Source organism: Homo sapiens, chromosome 4, assembly GCF_000001405.40.
Source record: "Homo sapiens chromosome 4, GRCh38.p14 Primary Assembly".
In the NCBI taxonomy this organism is placed as follows: Eukaryota; Metazoa; Chordata; class Mammalia; order Primates; family Hominidae; genus Homo; species Homo sapiens.
The window spans coordinates 38,633,297-38,653,971 of NC_000004.12; the positions used below are offsets into that span (position 1 = coordinate 38,633,297).

A 20,675-nucleotide genomic window follows, 5' to 3' on the forward strand; every position below is an offset into this window, starting at 1 on the left:
ATCTCATGATTGGTTCTGTTGGCTTTTTGTTGTTGTTGTTGTTAATGCACTTGACCAGCTTTTCACATATTTATTGACTAAATGTATTTTTGTCTATGAATTGCCTTTTTATAAACTCTGCTGTCCCGAGATTCTCAATCTGTGGTCCCAAGGCCCCTGACATGTAATATAAAATGTTCTATGCTTATTGGTTGTGCATTATTCTCAGGATAGAGGACAAGGAACAATAAGAACCACTGATTTTTGACTTCCTGCTGGCAAGGATAAAAATAAATAAAATAATTAATAAATATATAAATAAATAAATAAATAAATAATAAAGAACCACTGATTTTAACGGGTATACGCTGAAAAGTATATGCGGAAAGAAAGAAGCAGGCCTAGAAGAAAGGGCGTAAAAGAGGTGAGGCAGGCTTCTATGATTCCAAACCAGAGTGTGCACACACACACACCCTTTTATTATCTCTCCCTCAATTACACTAGGACTTCCCAATAGTATTTTCTCATTTTCCTTCCCAGAAGGCCCACCAGCCAGAGGCAGGCTCCTAGATCTACTGCAGATTGGGCTTATTTCTTTACCAATATCTTTGACATATCACAGAGAATAAGGACAAACAAGTCAAGATGCTGCTTTATTTACATTTTGGTTTATAGACACATTCAAAACTTTATACGGACAAGCTGTCACCTATTTTTTTTTGGAATCAGGACAGCCATTAACTTCAATTCTAACTCCTAAATATTTCTCTAATCTGCCCATTTCTCTTCATTTCCACTCCAACTATCGCATCTTGCTTTGACCATGGCAGCACTCTCCTACCTGGCTTCCCCATATCCTCTCTGCCATACTCTCCAATCCACTGTCCATGCTTTAACCAAAACTATCCCTTCACTCACCAGCTCTCAACCTGTCCATGGCTGCTCTTTGCTCTCTGGCTAAAAGGCCAACCTCTTGGTGCATGTGTCCAACTGTGCGGTCTGCCTGACCTACCTCCTCTATGATGCTGAGCCCCTCTTCCCTCACCCTGGCTCCCACCACACCTGGGACACTCAGCCATTCTCTCTCCCATACCATGACCTTTGTCATTCTATTTCTTCTGCCTGAATGCTGTCTCTCCCACTCTTTTCTCTCACTGAGTTGACTTCTACTCAGCTTAAAAATAACTTCCCTGACTTCCCAGGCCAAGTCATGTGCTGCTATTTCATGCTTTCATAACAAAAGCATAAAATACTCCACTTGTTTTCTTTAGCAGCTATCCCAAATTTTCAATAATATAGTTCATTAACATCTGCTTCCACTCTGGCAGGAGACGTCCATGAAAATAGGATGGGATCTGTTTTGCTCTTCTTGAAATCCCAGAGCAGGGCTAACCCAGAGCAGATGACCAATAAGTACTGTTGAAGCAGGAAGAGGAAAAGGATGCTTTTAGAAATGATCCTTTGTAGGCCTTTATTTTTCTTTACACTTTCCTTCCAACCTGAGAGGATAGTAACTATGTCCTGGATATGGAAATTTGCTAACCCTTTCAAGGCATTCCCGGCATTTATCAGGAACCTACTATGTACGTACTAGACACCTTTCTAGGAACCGGGAGACATCACAGTAGAAAAAAAAAAAAGCCAGACCAATCTTCTCCTTACATTCTGGAAGAAACAGATAGTCAACATCACAGTTAAGTCAATTATATAGTATACTTAGGAGACGAAAAGTGCTGTGAAGAAAAAGAGAGCTGGATAAGTTGGGTGAAAGAAGAAAGAAGAGGGAACTCACACCCATTCGTTGTATGTTAAAAAACCAGGTTGGGGAGGCCGGGTGCGGTGGCTCATGCCTGTAATCCCAGCACTTTGGGAGGCCGAGGCGGGCGGATCACAAGGTCAGGAGTTCGAGACCAGCGTGGCCAACATAGTGAAACCCCATCTCTACTAAAAATACAAAAATTAGCTGAGCATGGTGATGGGCTCCTGTAATCCCAGCTGCTCGGGAGGCTGAGGCAGGAGAATCATTTGAACCTGGGAGGTGGTTGCAGTAAGCCAAGATCGTGCCATTGCACTCCAGACTGGGCAACAAGAGCGAAACTGTCTCAAAAAAAAAAAAAAAAAAAAACCAACTAGGTTGGGGAGATAGACATAGAGGGGGTGTCATGAAGTGACATAAGCTCATGAAGTTTAAACTAAGTTTGAGAAAAACAACAGAAATAGATACACATACATACTAACTCTAGTAGTAAAATATCGTGTACACCGGCTTGTGAGCTGCCTTGAGCAGCGTGCTGGCCGGTTTGAGTAGCTCCTCTCACTCCCCGAGTCCATCCACATCTTGCTCAAGAACTTCAATTTCAATGTTAACTCTATTCCTCAGAACCCATTCCTTCTCCTTGGCATGGCTGGTGGATCTTTCTTCCATGTTCCTAAGGCCTTCTGTTCACCTTTAAGGTGTCACTCATCTCCCTGTCCTATGATTATTTTTGTGTCAGCCCCACTAGAACACAGGAACTCCTCAAGGGCAGAAACTATGTCCCAGCACCCAGTGTCTGACAGCTCCCAGCATTTGGTAATACAGCATGTGCTCAAAGCATTTGACAAATCAGTGAATGAAAGAATGGGTAGAGAATGAATGAAGGGAGTTAGAATGAGTGTAGCTCTGGCAATTGGAATGCACCTTGTTCTGAGCAGCTGAATTCTCCAGAAATTCTCCGTACGTGTGTGTGCTCATCTTCAGCACTTCTGCATCCAAGAATACTGGTAGTCAGACAAGTTATTCTCTAGAGGTAATCAGAAATGCTTGGTTTAGACTCATTAGTGGGTTACAAAATTAATGTAATAAGTCCTGAAAAGCATTTTTTAAATTAGCTAGAATACAAGAAAACAGAATGTATCCAAATATATAAGGTCAAGTGATTTGGGGACATGTGGCCCAATTTGCCCAGAACACCCTGCTTTATTCTTATTGGCCCAGCATGGTTGCTACCTTCAAAATAATAACTTTCCCAGTGTGTACTGTAAATTGGGTGATCACGTTCATTATACATACATTTGTGTATAATGTATATACTGGTTTATGAAGTAAAGCATATTTCTTACAGTGGACAATGGTCAAAACAACTTTGAAATTATGTAAGATAAGGTGAATATAGAAAACAAAAATTAAAAAATTAAAAGTTTGATAAACACTTTTCTTGAGAGACTCAAACTTCTGAGACTCCGGGGAAGCAGCATCGAGGAGAAAAAGCCAGGGAAAAGCAGAAGAAAGAAAAGAAAATTGAAGTGTGGCTGGATAGCTTTCTAATCCTCACACTATCCTGTGTGGAAGGCAGAACCTTACAAATGGGGAATGAAGCTCACCGGGCTTAAATAACTTGCCCAGGTCTGGTCTATATGCCATCAAGCCACAGTGCCAGCATTGAAATCTAGGTCTACACACACTGAAAAGTAAAAGCATCTTGTTCTACACATAGCAGGGGAAAGGATTTTTTTCCACTTCTTGGACACCACAATATTTGTAACCACATCAAAATTGAGGAGGGGATAATGGAACATATCTCCCAGTGTCCTGTTATGACTTTTGTAATTTAAGAAACATACTTTTATTTTGGAAATATTCTGCATTTGAAAGTAGTTAGCATTTTGATTCAGAGATCAGTTCTTAATTATGGACCAAAAAAGTGGGTAAGTGTTTCAGATTGATGAAATAAGCCTTGCTAGGCAAAAGCAAAGAAAATGAGTAGTTCTGTGCAAAGTGTCACATTAATAAAGAGTGCAGGGTCTGAAGTCAGACAAGCATCGGTCCAAATCTTAACAGCCAGGGGACTGCAGACAGGTTCTCAAATTTCTCTGTGCCTTAGTTTACTCATCTATAAAATGCCCACTACAACAGTACCTACCTCATGGGGTTCTAATAAAGACTAAACAAAAGAATCCACATAAAGCTCTGAACATGTTTCCTGGAATGTGGTAAATGCTTGGTAATGTTGACCACAGTCAAAATAGAAATCAAGACGATTGGAGCCAAAGGTGCTCTCTTCTTACTTTTATTTGTTCTTCCCATCATCATACGCCCCCCACCTTCGATGGTCTTCCTCTAGCTGCTCATACATTCCTGCAATAGCCCCCACTTGGCCATGACGCATTATTTCTTTAAGAGAGTGTTGCACACAATTTGCTAGTATTTTGCTAAGGATTTTTACATCTGTGTTTATGAAGTTTTTTCCCCTTGTAATATCTATCAGATTTCATACCAAGATGACGCTAGCCTCATAAGATGAACTGGGCAGTATTTCATCCTCCTAGTTTCTAAGAGTTTGTGAAACATTGGTATATTTCTTTCTTAAAAGTTTGATAGAATTCACAACCGAAGCCATCTGGGCCTCAAGGTTTTTTTGTGGGAGGTTTTTAAACTACACATTTAATTTCTTTACTAAATATAGGGCTATTCAACTTCTTCAGTCACACACAGTATGTTGTATTTTCTAAGGAACTGTCCATTCATCTAGGTTGTTGAATTTATTGACATGAAGTTATTCATAATATTCATGTATTTTCCTTGTGATGTTTGTAGCATCTGTCCTACTCTCATTTCTAGTATGATATTTTGTGTCTTCTCCCTTTTTTTCTTAACAAATCTGGCTACAAGTTTATAAACTTTGTTGAAATTTTCCAAGAACCAGCTTTAGGTTTCATTGATTTTCTGTATTATTTTTGTTTTATATTTTATTGATTTCTGCTTTTGTCTTTGTTATTTTCTCCCTTCTGTTTTCTTTGGGTTTAATTTGTCTTCCGTGTCTTGATTTTTTCAGGCAGTATCTTAGATTGCTAATTTTAGACCTTTCTTATTTTCTAATATAAACATTTAATATTTTACATTTCCCTTGAGACACTGCTGTAGCTACATCTACATCCCACACTTTTGATATGTTTTCATTTTTATTCAGTTCAAAATATTTTTTAAGTTCTCTTGTGATTTCTTCTCTGACCCATGTGTTGTTTAGTCGTCTATTGCTTAATTCCTAAATATTTGGAGATTTCTCAAATAGCTGTTATTTCTAATTTAATTTCATTATGGGTGGAGGACATACTCTATGATTTCAATACTTTTAAATTTGTTGGAACTTGTTTATGATTAACATTTAGTCTCTTTTTGTTAATGTTCCATGTGAACTTGAAAAGAATGTATTCTGCTGTCATTGGACAGAGTCCAGTTAGGTCCAGTTGACTGGTGCTGTCTTCTACATCCTTGCTGATTTTCTGTCTTACTTCTTTATTGATTGCTAAGTGAAGAGTATTGAAATCTGTAACTGTAACTGTGGGGTTTTGAAAAATTTCCTTTCAGTTCTGTCAAGTTTTGCTACATGTATTTTGAAGCTCTAGTACATTTAGGATTGTCATATCATCCTGATGAATTGACGCCTTTATCATTATGAAAAGTTCCTCCTTATTCCTAGTAATATTCCTTTTTATATTGTCTGCTCTAACATAACCAGTCTAGCTTTCTTGTAATTCATGTTTGCATAGTACATCTTTTTCCATCCTTTTAATTCTAACTTTCTGTTCTACAAAGTGGTTTTCTTGTACACAGCACATAATAGGATCTTACTTTTTGTAACCAGTCTGACAATCTCTGACTTTTAATTCGAGTGTTTAGACCACTTACATTTAACATAATTATCAGTATGGCTGAATTTAAATCTATTATTTGCTATTGGTTTTCTATTAGACTCATCTCTCCTTGCTATTGTTTGTTTCTTTTTTTCTGCTTCTTTTGATTTAATTAGTGCTTTTTAATATTTCATTTTATCTCTATTGCTGGATATATATATGTATATACACAAACACACATATATGTTTTATATATAAAACTTATTTTATTTTTCATAATTTTCCTACTTTTTATAATACACATTTCTAACTCATTATACATGTTCAACTAATATTATGCTACTTAATATGTAATGTAAAACTCTTATAGCTACAGGCTTACCATGGTTTGACTTTATGATGGTAGGAAAGCAATACACATTCAGTAGAAATCATACTTTGGATTTTAAATTTTGATCTTTTCCTTGGCTAGCAATATGCAGTGTGATAGTCTCTTGCAATGCTGGGCAGTGGCAGTAAGCCACAGTTGCCAGCCAGCCATGCAGTCACGAAGGTAAACAACAGATACTCTACAGTGTACTGTGTTGCCAGTGTTTTTTGATACTGTGTTTTATGGTTTTGCATCCCATGGTGTCCCTAAAATGCCAATTTTGACTTACGATATTTTCTACTTACGATGGGTTTATCAGGATGTAACCCCATCATAAATTAAAGGGCATCTATATAGACTTCCACTTCTCCCTATCCTGTCCTTAAAGCTGTGGTCAAATATTTTACTTCTATTAATACATATTTGATATATCTCAAAAATACATTGTTACTATTTTTGCTTCATGCAGTCAATTAGCTTTCCAAGAAATTTAAAAATAAGGACACAAAGTCTTTTCTATTTGTCCACATATTTACTACTTCTGAAATAGTGTCTTTCAAGTTTCCATCTGGTATCATTTTGCTTTGGCCTGAATAATTTCCTTTAAACATTTCTTGTTGCATATATCTGCCGACAACAAATTCCCTCAAGTTATGTCTGATAAACTTTATTTCATCTTTGTTTTTGAAGATGTTTTCATTAAATATAGAATTCAAGGCTGCCTTTTTCTTTGAGCACTCTAAAGATGTTATTTCATTGTCTTCAGGCTTGCAAAGTTGGAGGTGAAATGAAGTCTGTGATCCTTCCATTGTCTGTTTTGTATATAATGTGTATTCTTCTCTGATTGCCTTTAAGATTTTCTGTGCAACACTGGTCTTCAGCAACTTAATTATGTGCCTTTGTTTCTTTATTTCATTTTATTTTTGGAGATGGGGTCTTGTTATGTTGCCCCAGCTGGTCTCAAACCCTAGGCTCAAACAATATTCCCACCTTAGCCTCTCTAGTACCTGGGACTACAAAAGTGCTTGCCACCATACCTAGACCTTAATTTTTTTTGATGAAATTATTTCAGCTCCTGGTTCATTAAGCTTCTTAGATTTATGAAATACAGTTTTCATCAAATTTTGAAATATTTCAGCTATTATTTCTTCAAATACTTTTTCTGTCCCTTATCCTTTTCTCCATGTATGATAGACTGCTTGATATTATCCCACAGATCACTGGGTCTCTGTTCACTATTTTTTTTTCAGTTTTTTATTTCTCTCTGTGATTCATCTTGCATAGGTAACGTTGCTGTATTTGTAGGTTCACTAATCCATTGCCTAATCTATTAATCCCATCTAGTGAAATTTTCATTTCAGATGTTGTATTTTTTTCATCATGGTTCTTTTTTATCTTTCATTGTTTTCTGATTATTATTGTGTTTTTGTTTATTTTTATTTTATTTTATTTTATTTAGAGACAGGGTCTCACTCTGTCACTCGGGCTGGAGCGCAGTGGCACAATCACAGCTCACTACAACCTCAACCTCATGATCCTCCCACCTTAGCCTCCCAAGTAGCTGGGACCACAGGCATGCACCACCACACCCAACTAATTTTTAAATTATCTTTGGTAGAGATGGAGTATCACTTAGTTGCCCAGACTGGTCTTGAACGTCTGAGCTCAAGCAATCCTCCCACTCTAACTTCCCAAATTGCTGGGATCATCCGCGTGAGCCACCATACCCAACTGTTTTTGTGTTTTCCTTTAAATATTGATACACACTAATAAAATTTGTTGTAACATCCTTGTCTGCTAATTCCATTACCTTGTTACTTCCAGTTCTGTTTCTCTTAACTGATTCTTCTTCTTGTTACAGGTATTTTTTTCTGCTTTTTAGCATATCTAGTGATTGTGTTTGATGCTGGCATTGTTATCATTACATTATTAAGTGTCTGCATTATGTTGTCTTCCTTTAAATAGTATTGGACTTTCTTTTGCTAGGCAGTGAAGTTAAGTGCTAATCTTCAAGATCCGTTTTTAAGCTTTACTAGAGAGAGGCTAGGGCTGTGCTGTCCAATAAGGTAGTCACTAGCTACATGTGGCTACTGAAATGCGGCTAATCTGAATTGAGATGTGATAAAGGCATAAAGTACACACTGGATTTGGAAGACCTAGTATGAGAATAAGAACGCAAAGTATCTCATTAATAATTTTATATTGATTACATATTGGTGACACTTTGGATATACTGTGTTAAGTAAAATATATTACTAAAATTAATTTTATCTATTTCTTTTTACTATATATGTGGCATGCATTATATTTCTACTAGACAGCACTGTTCTAGAACAGAGGTCTGCAAACTACAGCCTACAGGATAGCCACCTATTTTTGTTAATAAAGTTTTATGGGAACTCAGCCATACCTACTCACTTATCTATTGTCTATGGCTGCCTTCACACTAAAATGGATTAGTTGTGACAGAGAATATATGACCCACAAGCCTAAAATGTTTGCTCTCTGAAAATTTAACAAAAAATGTCCACCCCCGGTCTAGAGTACCCTTCACTCCAAGGATAGTTCAGCCCTATTTTCTAACTTGTGATGCCTCCAAGGACTCCACTGAATGCTTCAGGGCTGAATGAGGACTCCCCTTTGGCTGGTCAGACAAAAAACACTTTCCCATTTCATGTGTGCTCTGGGTTTATTCAGCTTACAACTAAAAAGTCTTTTCTTGCCCAGACTTGTAGAGCATCATTCTACATACTTGTATCCTAACACTCAGCAAAAATTCAAGAGATTCCTATGCATATTTCTGGAGCTCTTTTTCTGCATAGCTTCCTCCTTCTCAGAACTCTGCCCCAGTACCTCTCACCACCTCAGCCTCCCCAAACTCTGATCTTCATCTCATCAATTCAGCGAGGCTACTAGGATCTGCTCATATCCCTCCTTCCTGGATCCATGGTCTAGAAATTGCTTTCAGACAGAAAACCAGGGCAGTCATTGAATTCACTTTGTTTCTCTTCTCTTAGGGATCACAGTCATATATAGACTGTTGCTCAATGTCTAAAAGCAGTTATTAATTACAATAATTTATAATGGGCAGTTAGGTCAGGCTATTATTATTCCATCATGACTATAAGGTGATGTCCCCTCTACTTATCATTTGATAGGTAGAACTTACTATGTAGTATACTCTGGGTCTTCAGACTTTCCAAAGATTTGGTAAATTTGACTGACTTGTATGTAGCTAGAGAACAAAGTGTAGAACTTTTCCTGCGGTTTGCCTAAATAGTTGATATGCTATATAATCATTGACCACAATTTCTCATGTTCAGGTTACGACAGAGAAGACAAAGAGAACTTGATAGAAGAAGCTGAAAGAAGGGTAGCTTGGAGCTATGCATTTCTGAATCTATTTGTACATTTATATCAGAGGTAGAACAAGCATATTAGCAGGCCTAGAAAAGATGATAGTGCAATGGTGTGATCTTGGCTCACTGCAACCTCTGCCTCCCAGGTTCAAGTGATTCTCCTGCCTCAGCCTCCCGAGTAGCTGGGAATACAGGCATGTGCCACCATGCCCGGCTGATTTTGTATTTTCAGTAAAGACGGGGTTTCTCCATGTTGGTCAGGCTGGTCTCAAACTCCCGACCTCAGGTGATCTGCCCACCTTGGCCTCTCAAAGTGCTGGGATTACAGGCATGAGCCACCGTGCCCGGCCATGATGTACCTCTTTTTAAAGCATGTGAAAAGTTTAGGAAGCAATTATCATTAGCTCCAGATGCTATATTATGTGAAACAAATAGAGCTGTATACCTCCAGGTATTTATAGTGAAAAAAAAGAACTGATCCAAAATACAGATAAATGATAGAGATAGATAGATGGATATCCCCCAAAAAGTTTGTTTTATATTAGTGGCATTTCTTTATTAAGAGATAGAAACTACAATCAGCCGATAAAACCAAAAAGGAAATTAAAAGTAAAAACAAACAAGCATCTATTTTCTCGCACCTGATTAGAAAAATATTTATTTCATAAAAATGTGAAGAACCCATTTGTTGAAAATAGAATGAGTAGTTATACTTTTAGTCAAGGTGGAGGAGATGGAAGAGAACTGGGAAGAGAATAACATCAAAGATGGGTGTCAAAAATAGAAGATTCAAGAATCATATAAAGGGGTAGATAAAAAAAAGAAGTCAAAAAGAAAAAAGGAGAAGAGAGAGGAAAAAATAAAGAACTTGGGGTGCAACAGTGCCAGGCTTATATTAGGTGCTCAAGGAAAGTTTATTAGATAGCTAATGGATGGATGGATGGATGGATGGATGGATGGATGGACAGACAGTAGGAACAATATAATAGAAGAGAATAAACGTGATACCTGAAAGTGAGCATTTGATCTTGTAGAACAGAGAAGAAATCTAATGGAGATAGACAGAATTGTCATGAAGGGTTTTGTAGGATGGTAATTTGTAACTAGTTTAAGTGCAAATAAGTTTTCCCCCAGTTAATTCATGATTGAAACTTCATCTCAAAGGTCAACTTTCTGAAAGAGACCTTGAGCATCAGTCTAGATTAATTCACCTGTTTTATTTGTCTTCTGGTACCATGTATTTTTCCTTTATAACTCTTATTACAGTTTTGAAAAATGTTTTGGTAACTATTTGTTGAATATCTGTTCTCCCACTAGAATGCAGGCTCCATGAGGGAATGAGCTATGCCTTCATTGCTACCCCCTTGTCATCAGGGTCTGGAATAAAGTGTGGCCCAAATTTACCTCCCAATAAATATTTGTTGAGTAAAATGTAAGTAAGTGCATGAATTCAAGAATGAAGGAGGGTGGTACTTGCGGAAATGCAGAGCTGTGAGACCTACCCAGCCCCCATGAGGACTGAGCCTATTCATCCAAGGAGTGGCTTTAGTGCAATAGAAAATGCCCTGGAATTAGAGCCAGGAAGCTTCACATCTGCCTCTGCTATTTACTTACTGTATTAACTAAGACAAGATAATTTATCTCAGCTTCTGTTTTCTGATCTCTTAAATGAGGATTATACACCTCATATGGTTGTTATGAAACTTGGATGAATAGTGTTCAAACTGGGTGTGGTGGCGCATGCCTGTAGTCCCAGCTACTCGAGAGGCTGAGACAGGGGTATCACTTGAGGCCAGGAGGTCAAGGCTGCAGTGAGCTATGATTGCAACATTGCACTCCAGCCTGAACAACAGAGTAAGAAACCATCTCTAAAAAAAAAAAAAAAAAAAAAAAAGTGCTTAGAACTTCTCCAGTGTTTTCTCCCAAGAACCCTTCTGGAAAAAGCGGGCATTCACATCTGTGTTGAACTCAAGGTACACTAAAAACAAAAGCAACTTCTTTGAAACAAATTTTAGCTAAAAAGTTCGTGCAAATGCTTCATTTTATACCATAATATATATCTACATTGTCTCAATGTTGAAATTCTGTTTTAAATTATTCATCAGTTAATTTAGATTTTTATTTCATAAAATAATGGTATAAAATGGATGTTTATAGAACACGCACCATATTATCCTTTGCTTTTCCATATTTTTGAGAAACATGGATTGATGTAAAATGACCTGCTACATGGTGGGCAGGACCTCCATAAGTGTTTGCTGAATCCGAATCTGCCCACCAGAGGAGCTGCAGGGTTGAATCAAAAGCAAAGCTTTTGATTGATGCAAAGAGGATTTCTCCCACAGGAGGAGTGCCCAGGCAGGCTCCTAATCTGGGGATAAATCAAAAGGTACAGGTCAAAAATGACCTATAAACTTATTTGAATCTAGATAATCAAAAGGAAATGATCAGTACTATATAAAATGTAGGCTATATGTAAAATGATTATATATTTACCATAAATTATTAGAATTATCATTATAAATTTGTATAATAATGTTTTATTATATATAAAAATGTTATTATATAATATACTGGACTGTCTACAGAGAAAAAAAACATACTTAATTGTAAAGATTACTCCTGGCCAGATGTGTGGCTCATGCCTGTAATCCCAGCACTTTGGGAGGCCAAGGCGGGCAGATTACTTGAAGTCAGGAGTTGAAGACCAGCCTCGTTAACATGGCGAAACCCCGTCTCTACTAAAAATACAAAAATAAATTAGCCAGACATGGTGGTGTGCACCTGTAATTCCAGCTACTTGGGAGGCTGAGGCAGGAGAATCGCTTGAACCTGGGAGGTGGCGGTTGCAGTGAGCTGAGATTGTGCCACTGCACTCCAGCCTGGACGACACAGCGAGACTCTGTCTCGAAAGAAAAACAAAAACAACAACAACAAAAGCCTCCTATCTTTGGTTTTATTCTTAGAACCTAATGTAAAACAAACAAACCAACCTTCCCCACCCCCAGCTCTATTTTAACATCCAGACTTTGGTCTGCTCTGAATCTGAATTCACCATGAATTCAGCTACACATTTAGCTGTAGCTCAATTTCTATTTCCAAGGCTTTGACCCAATGAAAGCATTAAACATACTATCACAAAAGCAAACCTCCCTATGAACAAACGTGGTCTGCCCTCAGTTTCCTCACTGTAAAGTGGAGATAACAACACCTATCTCACAGGTTGGTTACAAGCATTCAATGAAATGATGCACACGAACATGCCTGGTACAGTGCCTGCCACATTGCAAACGACCACCCAACTTCTAGGGTTTATTCACTGCTTTATCACCAATTTCCACTTGTTACAGGCAGAACTGTGTCCCTAGCCACAATTCATGTTGAAGTCCTAACCCTTCATATCCAAGAATATGACTGCATTTGGGTTGTGTTTGTTTGCTTGTTTTTTGAGACAAGGTCTCACTCCATCACCCAGGCTGGAGTGCAGTGGTGTGATCACGGCTCACTGCAGCCTCGACTGTCCAGTCTCAGATGATCCTTCCACCTCAGCCTCCTGGGCAGCTGGGACTACAGGCACACGCCACCACACCTGGCTAGTTTTTTGTAGAGATGGAGTTTCGCCACATTGTCCAAGCTGGTCTCAACCTCCCAGGGTCAAGCAATCCTCCCACCTCAGCCTCCCAAGAAGCTGGGACTACAGGCACACACCACCATGCTTGGCTAATTTTTGTATTTTTTGTAGAGACAAGGTCTTGCTGTGTTGCCCAGGCTGGTCTCAAACTCCCAGGCTCAAGTGATCCGCCCATCTAAGCCTCCCAAAGTGCTGGGATTACAGGTGTGAGACACCATGCCCAGCCCAATGTGACTGTATTTGGAGATAGGGTCTTTACAGAAGTAATTAAGTTCAAATGAGGTCATTAGAGTAGGACCTAATGTAATATGACCGATGTTCTTTAAGAGAAAATCTGGATGCAGACAGAGGGAAGACAATGTGAAGACAAAGGGAGAAGAGGGCCATCTACAAGTCAACAAGAAGAAGTCTGGAGCAGATCCTTCCCGCACAGCTCCCCTGAAGAAACCAGCCCTGCCAACACCACCTTGATCATGAACTTCCAACCTACAGAACTGCAGGAAAATAAACATCTGTTGTTTAAGCCACCCAGCTATGGCAGCCCTAGCAAACTAACATACCACTAGAATAAAAGCTCCATGAGGGCAAGTGTTTTTCTTTTTGCTCTATACTGTACCCTAAGTGCCTAGGACACAGCCTGGCCCATAGTAAGCACCTAATAAATAATTGTTGACCTATTCCATAAATGTCCAATCCTGAGCCTGGCACAGATATTTAGCAAATATTTGAAGACTGGATAAATGATTCTATTTCCAAATACCAAATTAGAACACAGTCTGAAAAAAAATGTATTACCTGATTTTTAAATATATATATATATAAGCTTTGTTAAATTTTAAATATTGTCACACTTAAATCACCTTAATTGGAAAGGGCAAAATGTCATGAAATCCATGCTGGTCTTGGAAAATCCAATTTTGGTAGAGTACATCCTTAATTGTTTAACATCCAAACTCCTTGGCCTAAATTTAAGCACTGCATAGCTCTCTCTCTTGCCAGTCCAACCTCATTTCCCCAAGTCCCCCACAGGATCCATCTGCTGAAACCACACTGGTCTCTGCATCACTTCCAGAAATACCATCCTGCTAGGCTCAGCTCAAACCCCTCTTCTCACATGAAGCCTTCTTCATCCTCTGAAGCCAAAGTAATAAAGTAATACCACTTTCTTTAGGGACTTTTTTTTTTTTAATGTATCACTTACTTCCTCATACCATTAGTTATATTTGTGTGAGTTTATCTGGTTTCTATTCTAGGTTAAAAACTCCTTGAGGACAGGAACTTTTAAAAGACTTAATTCTACCCTATCTAGGTTGGAGTCCAGCAAATATTATAAAGAGATTTTAATTAAATCACTGGAAAATACACAGTCAGCATTTACACACAACCCCAGCCTTGAAAGCACAGGGAGCCAGAGAAGGCACTGGCAAATCAAAGTCTGTTAACATTAACAACTTGAGCACAAGTTCTACTCAAAGTGGGAAATAGAGAAGAACTACAATAACATAGTTCAAAGTGATGCTGTCACTTCCAAAAGGTATCGCTTTACCGTTAACACCAGTATAATAAATATCCATCATGCCCTACTTTTGAATAATATCTATTTGATTAATGCTGGGCATTTCCTTCCCAAGGCTTCATACTATTCCTCTTGCCACTTGTTCTTTTTCTTGTTTTTGAGACTGGGTCTTACTCTCTTGCCCAGGCTGGAATGCAGTGGCACAATCATGGTTCACTGCAGCCTCAACCTCTCAGGCTCAAGGGATCCTCCCACTTCAGCCTCCTGAGTAGCTGGGACTACAGGCACGCACCACCACACCTGGCTAATTTTTCTATTTTTTGTAGAGACAGGGTTTCACTATGTTGTCCAGGTTGGTCTTGAACACCTGGGATCAAGCGATTCTCCCGCCTCTGCTTCCCAAAGTGCTGGTATTACAGGCGTGAGCCACCTTACCTGGCTCCCCTCTTGCTGTTTTTTTGATTAAGTAGGCATTTGCCTCAGATAACCAGATCAGCAGCAGGACCAAGAAATACACTTCAGCTGTTTTGTGGGCTTTGGCAAACAGTTAATGTGTGTTTGTGCAATCATAGGTAGAAGGAATACCATAAAGAATTAATTACTTTTTTAAAAAATATCTGATTCTTCTGATTCACTTGATATGAAACATGAGCCAATGTCAAACAAATTCTTTTCTCTTGGCCAGGCACAGTGGCTCACGCCTGTAATCCCAGCACTTTGGGAGGCCGAGGCAGCTCAAGAGTTCAGAGACCAGCCTGGGCACCATGGTGAAAATACAAAAAATTAGCCAGTCACGGTGGCGTGTGCCTGTAGTCCCAACGACCTGGAAGGCTGAGGTGAGAGGATCACTTGAGCCTGGACGGTCAAGGCTGCAGTGACCTGAGATTGTGCCACTGCACTCCAGCCTCGGTGACAGAGGGAGACCCTGTCTCCAAAAAAAAAAAAAATTATTTTCTCTAATTTAATGGGAAAAAGCAGTGTAATATTCCTCAAGTGGCTTTCTAGCTGCTTGATCCCATCTTCATATGACCTTTAAAAATTTTGTTGCTATATTTCTTTTCATATAATTGCATCCAAGCAATATGATAAATAAAGGTAGTTAGGATGAGGCAGGAGAGTGGTTCCTAACCTCACACATAAGCACGAATGTCAGTCCTTGGCTATTTCAGTAAGCATTCTTCATTTAACCCCCAGTCTAATATTTTTATGTGACATAACAATGATACTAGAGGAGGGCAGGGAAGTGTAGGGAAGGGAAGGGAAGGGTGTGGTCCCTGGCTAGAGCTCCACCCGTGAGCCTGTGCCCACGGACCTATGTGAGGACAGGCATTTCTGTTTTCCTGCCTAAATGTTGCATTTCCCAAGACCACTCCAGCCTGCCATGCCCCCATCCTGTGCCTATAAAAACCCTGAGACCCTAGCAGGCAGAGACACAAGCGGCTGGACGTTAAGAGGAACGCACCAGCGGAAGAACACAAGAGGAACGCACTGGCATAAGAGTACACCGACAGACACTGGCAGGCCGTCAACCGGGGGAACAACACAGTTTGGCCAGAGTGGTCGGAGGAGGGCCCAGGCTGCTGAGTGGCTGGACTCCAGGGGAAAACCACCTTCACATTCTATCCCCCTTCTGGCTCCCCCACCTGCCGAGAGCTATTTTAACTCAATAAAATCTTGCACTCAGGCCGGGCGTGGTGGCTCACACCTGTAATCTCAGCACTTTGGGAGGCTGAGGCAAGTAGATCACTTGAGATCAGGAGTTCGAGACCAGCCTGGCCAACACGGTAAAACCCATCTCTACCAAAAATACAAAAATGAGCTGGGTGTGGTGGCACATGCCTGTAGTCCCAACTATTTGAGAGGCTGAGGCAGGAGAATCACTTAAACCCAAGAGGCAGAGGTTGCAGTGAGCCAAGATGGTGCCACTGCACTCCAGCCTGGGCAACAGAGTGAGACTCTGTCTCAAAACAAAAAACCAAAAACCTTGCACTCATTCTCCAAGCCCATGTGTGATCCAATTTTTCTAGTACACCAAGGCAAGAAACCCCAAGATGCAGAAAGTCCTCTGTCCTTGCAATAACGCAGGGGGTCTCATTGAGCTGACTGACACAAGCCACCTACGGATGGCTAAACTAAAAGAGCACATGGTAACACACGCCCACTGGGGCTTCAGGAGCGGTAAACATTCACCCCTAGACGCTGCCATGGGGCTGGAGTCCACACTCCCCATGACCTGCCCATCTGCCTGCTCCCCCTAGGGTTTTTTGTTTTTTGTTTTTTTTCTTGAGACAGTCTTGCTTTGTTGCCAAGGCTGGAGTGCAGTGGTGTGATCTCAGCTCACTGCAACCTCCACCTCCCAGGTTCAGGCAATTCTCCTGCATCAGCTTCCTGAGTAGCTGGGATACAGGCGTGTGCCACCACGCCCAGCTAATTCTGGTATTTATAGTAGAGACAGGGTTTCACCATCTTGGCCAGGCTGGTCTCGAGCTCCTGACCTCAAGCGATCTGCCCAGCTCAGCCTCCCAAAGTGCTGGGATTACAGGCATAAGCTACGGAGCCCAGCCACCCCTAGGGGTTTTGAGGAGCAGGGCACCGAAGAAGCGAGTCCAAGCCACACCCCATCGCATGCCCTACAAGGGGGACAAGAGAATTTTTCTCCTTTCAATAGGACATCCATTTTTATGTGATATAAAAGGACGTTTTATATGAAACTCTTAATTATAATACTTTAAATATAATATGTAATTATTAAATATTATAATTAAATTTAATTATATTTAATATTTTCCTTGAGAAATGGCTTTAAATTATACTATTTTGAGTAAAGTTGATACTTTCAAGAATATAACAGAGGTACTAAAGCAAGTGATAAGCCATAAGGTATAAGATATAAAAATACAAATCAATACTAGATAAATAATAGTATAAGCATCCTATTTATGGAGAAATAAATTCAAATTTTAAAAGTCATGTATATGTCCGGGCACAGTGGCTCACGCCTATAATCCCAGCATTTTGGGAGGCCAAGGTGGGTGGATCATGAGGTCAGGAGTTCGAGATCAGCCTGGCCAACATGGTGAAACCTCGTCTCTACTAAAAATACTAAACTTAGCCAGACGCGACGGCAGGCACCTGTAATCCCAGCTACTTGGGAGGCTGAGGCAGGAGAATGGCTTGAACCCAGGCAGCAGAGGTTACAGTGAGCTGAGATTGCGCCACTTCACTCCAGCCTGGGTGACAGTGAGACTCTGTCTCAAAAAAAAAAAAAAAAGAAAAAAGAAAAGAATAAGAAAAGTTATTTTTATGGCCAAGGAAATTAGTTGTTAGAAAAATATAGAACTGTCTGTTAAGTATAAAAATTGTAACAGAAACTATAAAAAAGACAAAGCCCTTGCTCTAAGTAGCTTATAAACAACTACAAGAGTTCAAGCAAACTAGAAATGTATTTGGGTTTGTGTTTGTTTTTGTTTTTGTTTTTGAGACAGTCTTGCTGTCACCTAGGCTGGAGTGCAGTGGCGCGATCTCAGCTCACTGCAACGATTCTCCTGCCTCAGCCTCCTGAGTAGCTTGGGAATACAGGCATGTGTCACTGCACCCAGCTAATTTTTGTATTTTTACTAGAGACAGGGTTTCACCATGTTGGCCAGAGTAGTCTCGAACTGCTGACCTTAAGTGATCCGCCCCCTGCTCGGCCTCCCAAAGTGCTGGGATCACAGGTGTGTGCCACTGCACCCAGCTAATTTTTGTATTTTTAGTAGAGACAGGATTTCACCATGTTGGCCAGGCTGGTCTCCAACTCCTGGCCTCCAATGATCCACCTGCCTCAGCCTCCCAAAGTGCTGGGATTATAGGCATGAGCCACCGTGCCCAGCTGCTAACTAGAAATGTAAAGTGCACAGAGTGGTAGTGCTGGTAATAATTCTAGAGTATAAAAACAATTTAAAATTTTTTGGAGAATTTGTTTTTCAGATTTGAAAAGAAAAGGTGAATGATACACATATCTGTTTAAAACAATGATACAGGAAAGGTTTTCTTTAAAACAGGCTAAAAATTTTTGCCTTCCTTTCCTAATTTCTAAAGATGATGGAATAGAAAGACCATTATCTGGGCCAGGTGCGGTGGGTCACGCCTGTAACCCCAGCACTTTGGGAGGCCGAGGTGGGCAGATCACTTGAGGTCAGGAGTTTGAGACCAGCCTGGCTAACATGGTGAAATCCCCATCTCTACTAAAAATATAAAAATCAGCTGGGCATGGTGGCGTGCACTTATAATCCCAGCTACTTGGGAGGCTTAGGCAGGAGAATAGCTTGAACTCGGGAGGCAGAAGTTGTAGTGAGCCTAGATCACACCACTGTACTCCAGCCTGGGAGACAGAGCAAGACTCCATATGAAAGAAAGAGAGAAAGAGAAAAAAAGAGAGAGAGAGACAGAAATTAAGACTGTTATCTGGAATTGAAATAATAACATAATCAACAGTGTTGGCAGGGTGCAGTGGTTCACACCTGTAATCCCAACACTTTAGGAGGCCGAGGCAGGTGGATCACGAGATGAGGGGTTCGAGACCAGACTGGCCAACATGTGAAACCCCGTCTCTACTAAAAATACAAAAATTAGCCAGGTGTGGTGGTGGACACCTGTAATCCCATCTACTCGGGAGGCTGAGGCAGGAGAATTGCCTGAACCTGGAGGTGGAGGTTGCAGTGAGCCGAGATCTCAGACACAGCAATTGCTGTGTCTGAATTATACAATGCATCTTTGTCAGTCATCTGTACCAAATGGTCTAGATTAACTGGGGTTTTTTTTTTTTTTTGGAGGGGGGGGCGTTGTTGTTTGTTTGTTTGTTTGGATCTAAGGGTACTTCTGCAGGTGCAGAAGAAAGTTAAGGGAAATACATTAATAAATGTGACTAATTTTGTCATTATCCAAACTACACTACTCATTTGATAACTACCACCTAATGAAAATTGAAAAGTCCTGAGGACTGGACTCCAGACAGGTACTTTCAAATGCATCATAACTGGGAACACCTTGAGATATGTGGTTCGAGAAAGTAAGCTGATATCCTACCAAGAGTGTCTCTCCTGGGAGGTGGTGACAAATGCTCCTCAAGACTTCTCCTGTTTCCTCCTAAATCTTGGGAACTCCTTTAAGACGCCCTCATCTTCATAGTACCAAATGAAAGAAAATCAATTGCATTTGAAACAATTTGCCACATAAGAAAATAAACAAACATGGAAAAGGAGACACATTCGTGTGAATCTCAGGGGAAATCTTATTTTTCAGATATTGATGAAATAGCAAAAGAAACAAGATGAGTTTAGAATACCATCATCCATTCCTGCTTCTTTTGAATCCATTTCCCTTATCTTTAGTGCAGAAAAGGAAACTGATTAGATACATTACTGTGTAGCAAAAGTTGTACTCAAATTTTGAAAGTGTTTCCCTCCTTTTTAAAAAACTAAATGTTTCTCTTTTTTAGAAAGTGAATTTTCTCTATTGAGAAGATACCATGACCACTAGGCAGAATTATATATTTAGTTGTGCTAGAGCACTGATGACTTCTTTTATGATGATTTTTTTAAATGTTTAAATATTCCTCATAAACCTGCAAAACTTAAGTGCTAGACTCTATAACGTTTCATAGTTAATAGACCCATTTGCAACAGCAATGAGAAAAATTTAAATTTAAGTCCAGACACGTCACATAAAATTATTGACTGGCTGGGCTGTGCACAGTGGCTCACGCCTGTAATCCCAGCACTTTGGGAGGCCGAGGCAGGCAGATCATGAGGTCAGGAGATTGAGACCATCCTAGCTAACACGGTGAAAACCCATCCCTACTAAAAATACAAAAAATTAGCCAGGCATGATGGCACGCGCCTATAGCCCCAGCTACTAGGGAGGCTGAAGCAGGAGAATCTGTTGAACCCAGGAGGCGGAGGTTGCAGTGAGCCGACATCGCACCACTACACTCAGCCTGGGTGACAGAGCAAGACTCTGTCTCAAAAAACAAACAAAAAAAAACCAACAATTATTGACGGGCTAAAATATTCTGGAAAATCTAATAAACTAAACATATTGATGTGAGCATGAACACAATATATATTGTAGATTTCTTGTTCCTATCACAAGCAAGTAACTTTAAGGGCAAAGCACACCAAAAAAAAAAAGCCTTTTACATAATTCAAAGCTGTCCATACTTTCTTT

The 20,675-nt window shown here is 39.9% G+C and overlaps 1 long non-coding RNA gene across 2 annotated transcripts in view, besides 2 other annotated features; it reads right to left on the reverse strand.

Annotated features, from left to right (window-relative positions):
* KLF3-AS1 (KLF3 antisense RNA 1) overlaps positions 1–20,675 on the reverse strand; it is a 65,801-nt gene that overhangs the window by 34,204 nt on the left and 10,922 nt on the right. For both annotated transcript variants that reach the window (NR_171644.1, NR_026804.1), the window contains exon 2: positions 2,660–2,762. This is a non-coding gene — a long non-coding RNA (KLF3 antisense RNA 1). The remainder of the gene's footprint in view (positions 1–2,659; positions 2,763–20,675) is intronic.
* Positions 356–525: an enhancer, noted in NCBI's record as "experimental_79852 CRE fragment used in MPRA reporter constructs". NCBI's record gives its function as "activates a minimal promoter by MPRAs in K562 erythroleukemia cells, with activity observed for both the introgressed and non-introgressed 4:38635358 variant alleles {active_cell/tissue: K562}" and the evidence as "EXISTENCE:reporter gene assay evidence [ECO:0000049][PMID:34662402]".
* Positions 13,701–13,870: an enhancer, noted in NCBI's record as "experimental_79860 CRE fragment used in MPRA reporter constructs". NCBI's record gives its function as "activates a minimal promoter by MPRAs in K562 erythroleukemia cells, with activity observed for both the introgressed and non-introgressed 4:38648703 variant alleles {active_cell/tissue: K562}" and the evidence as "EXISTENCE:reporter gene assay evidence [ECO:0000049][PMID:34662402]".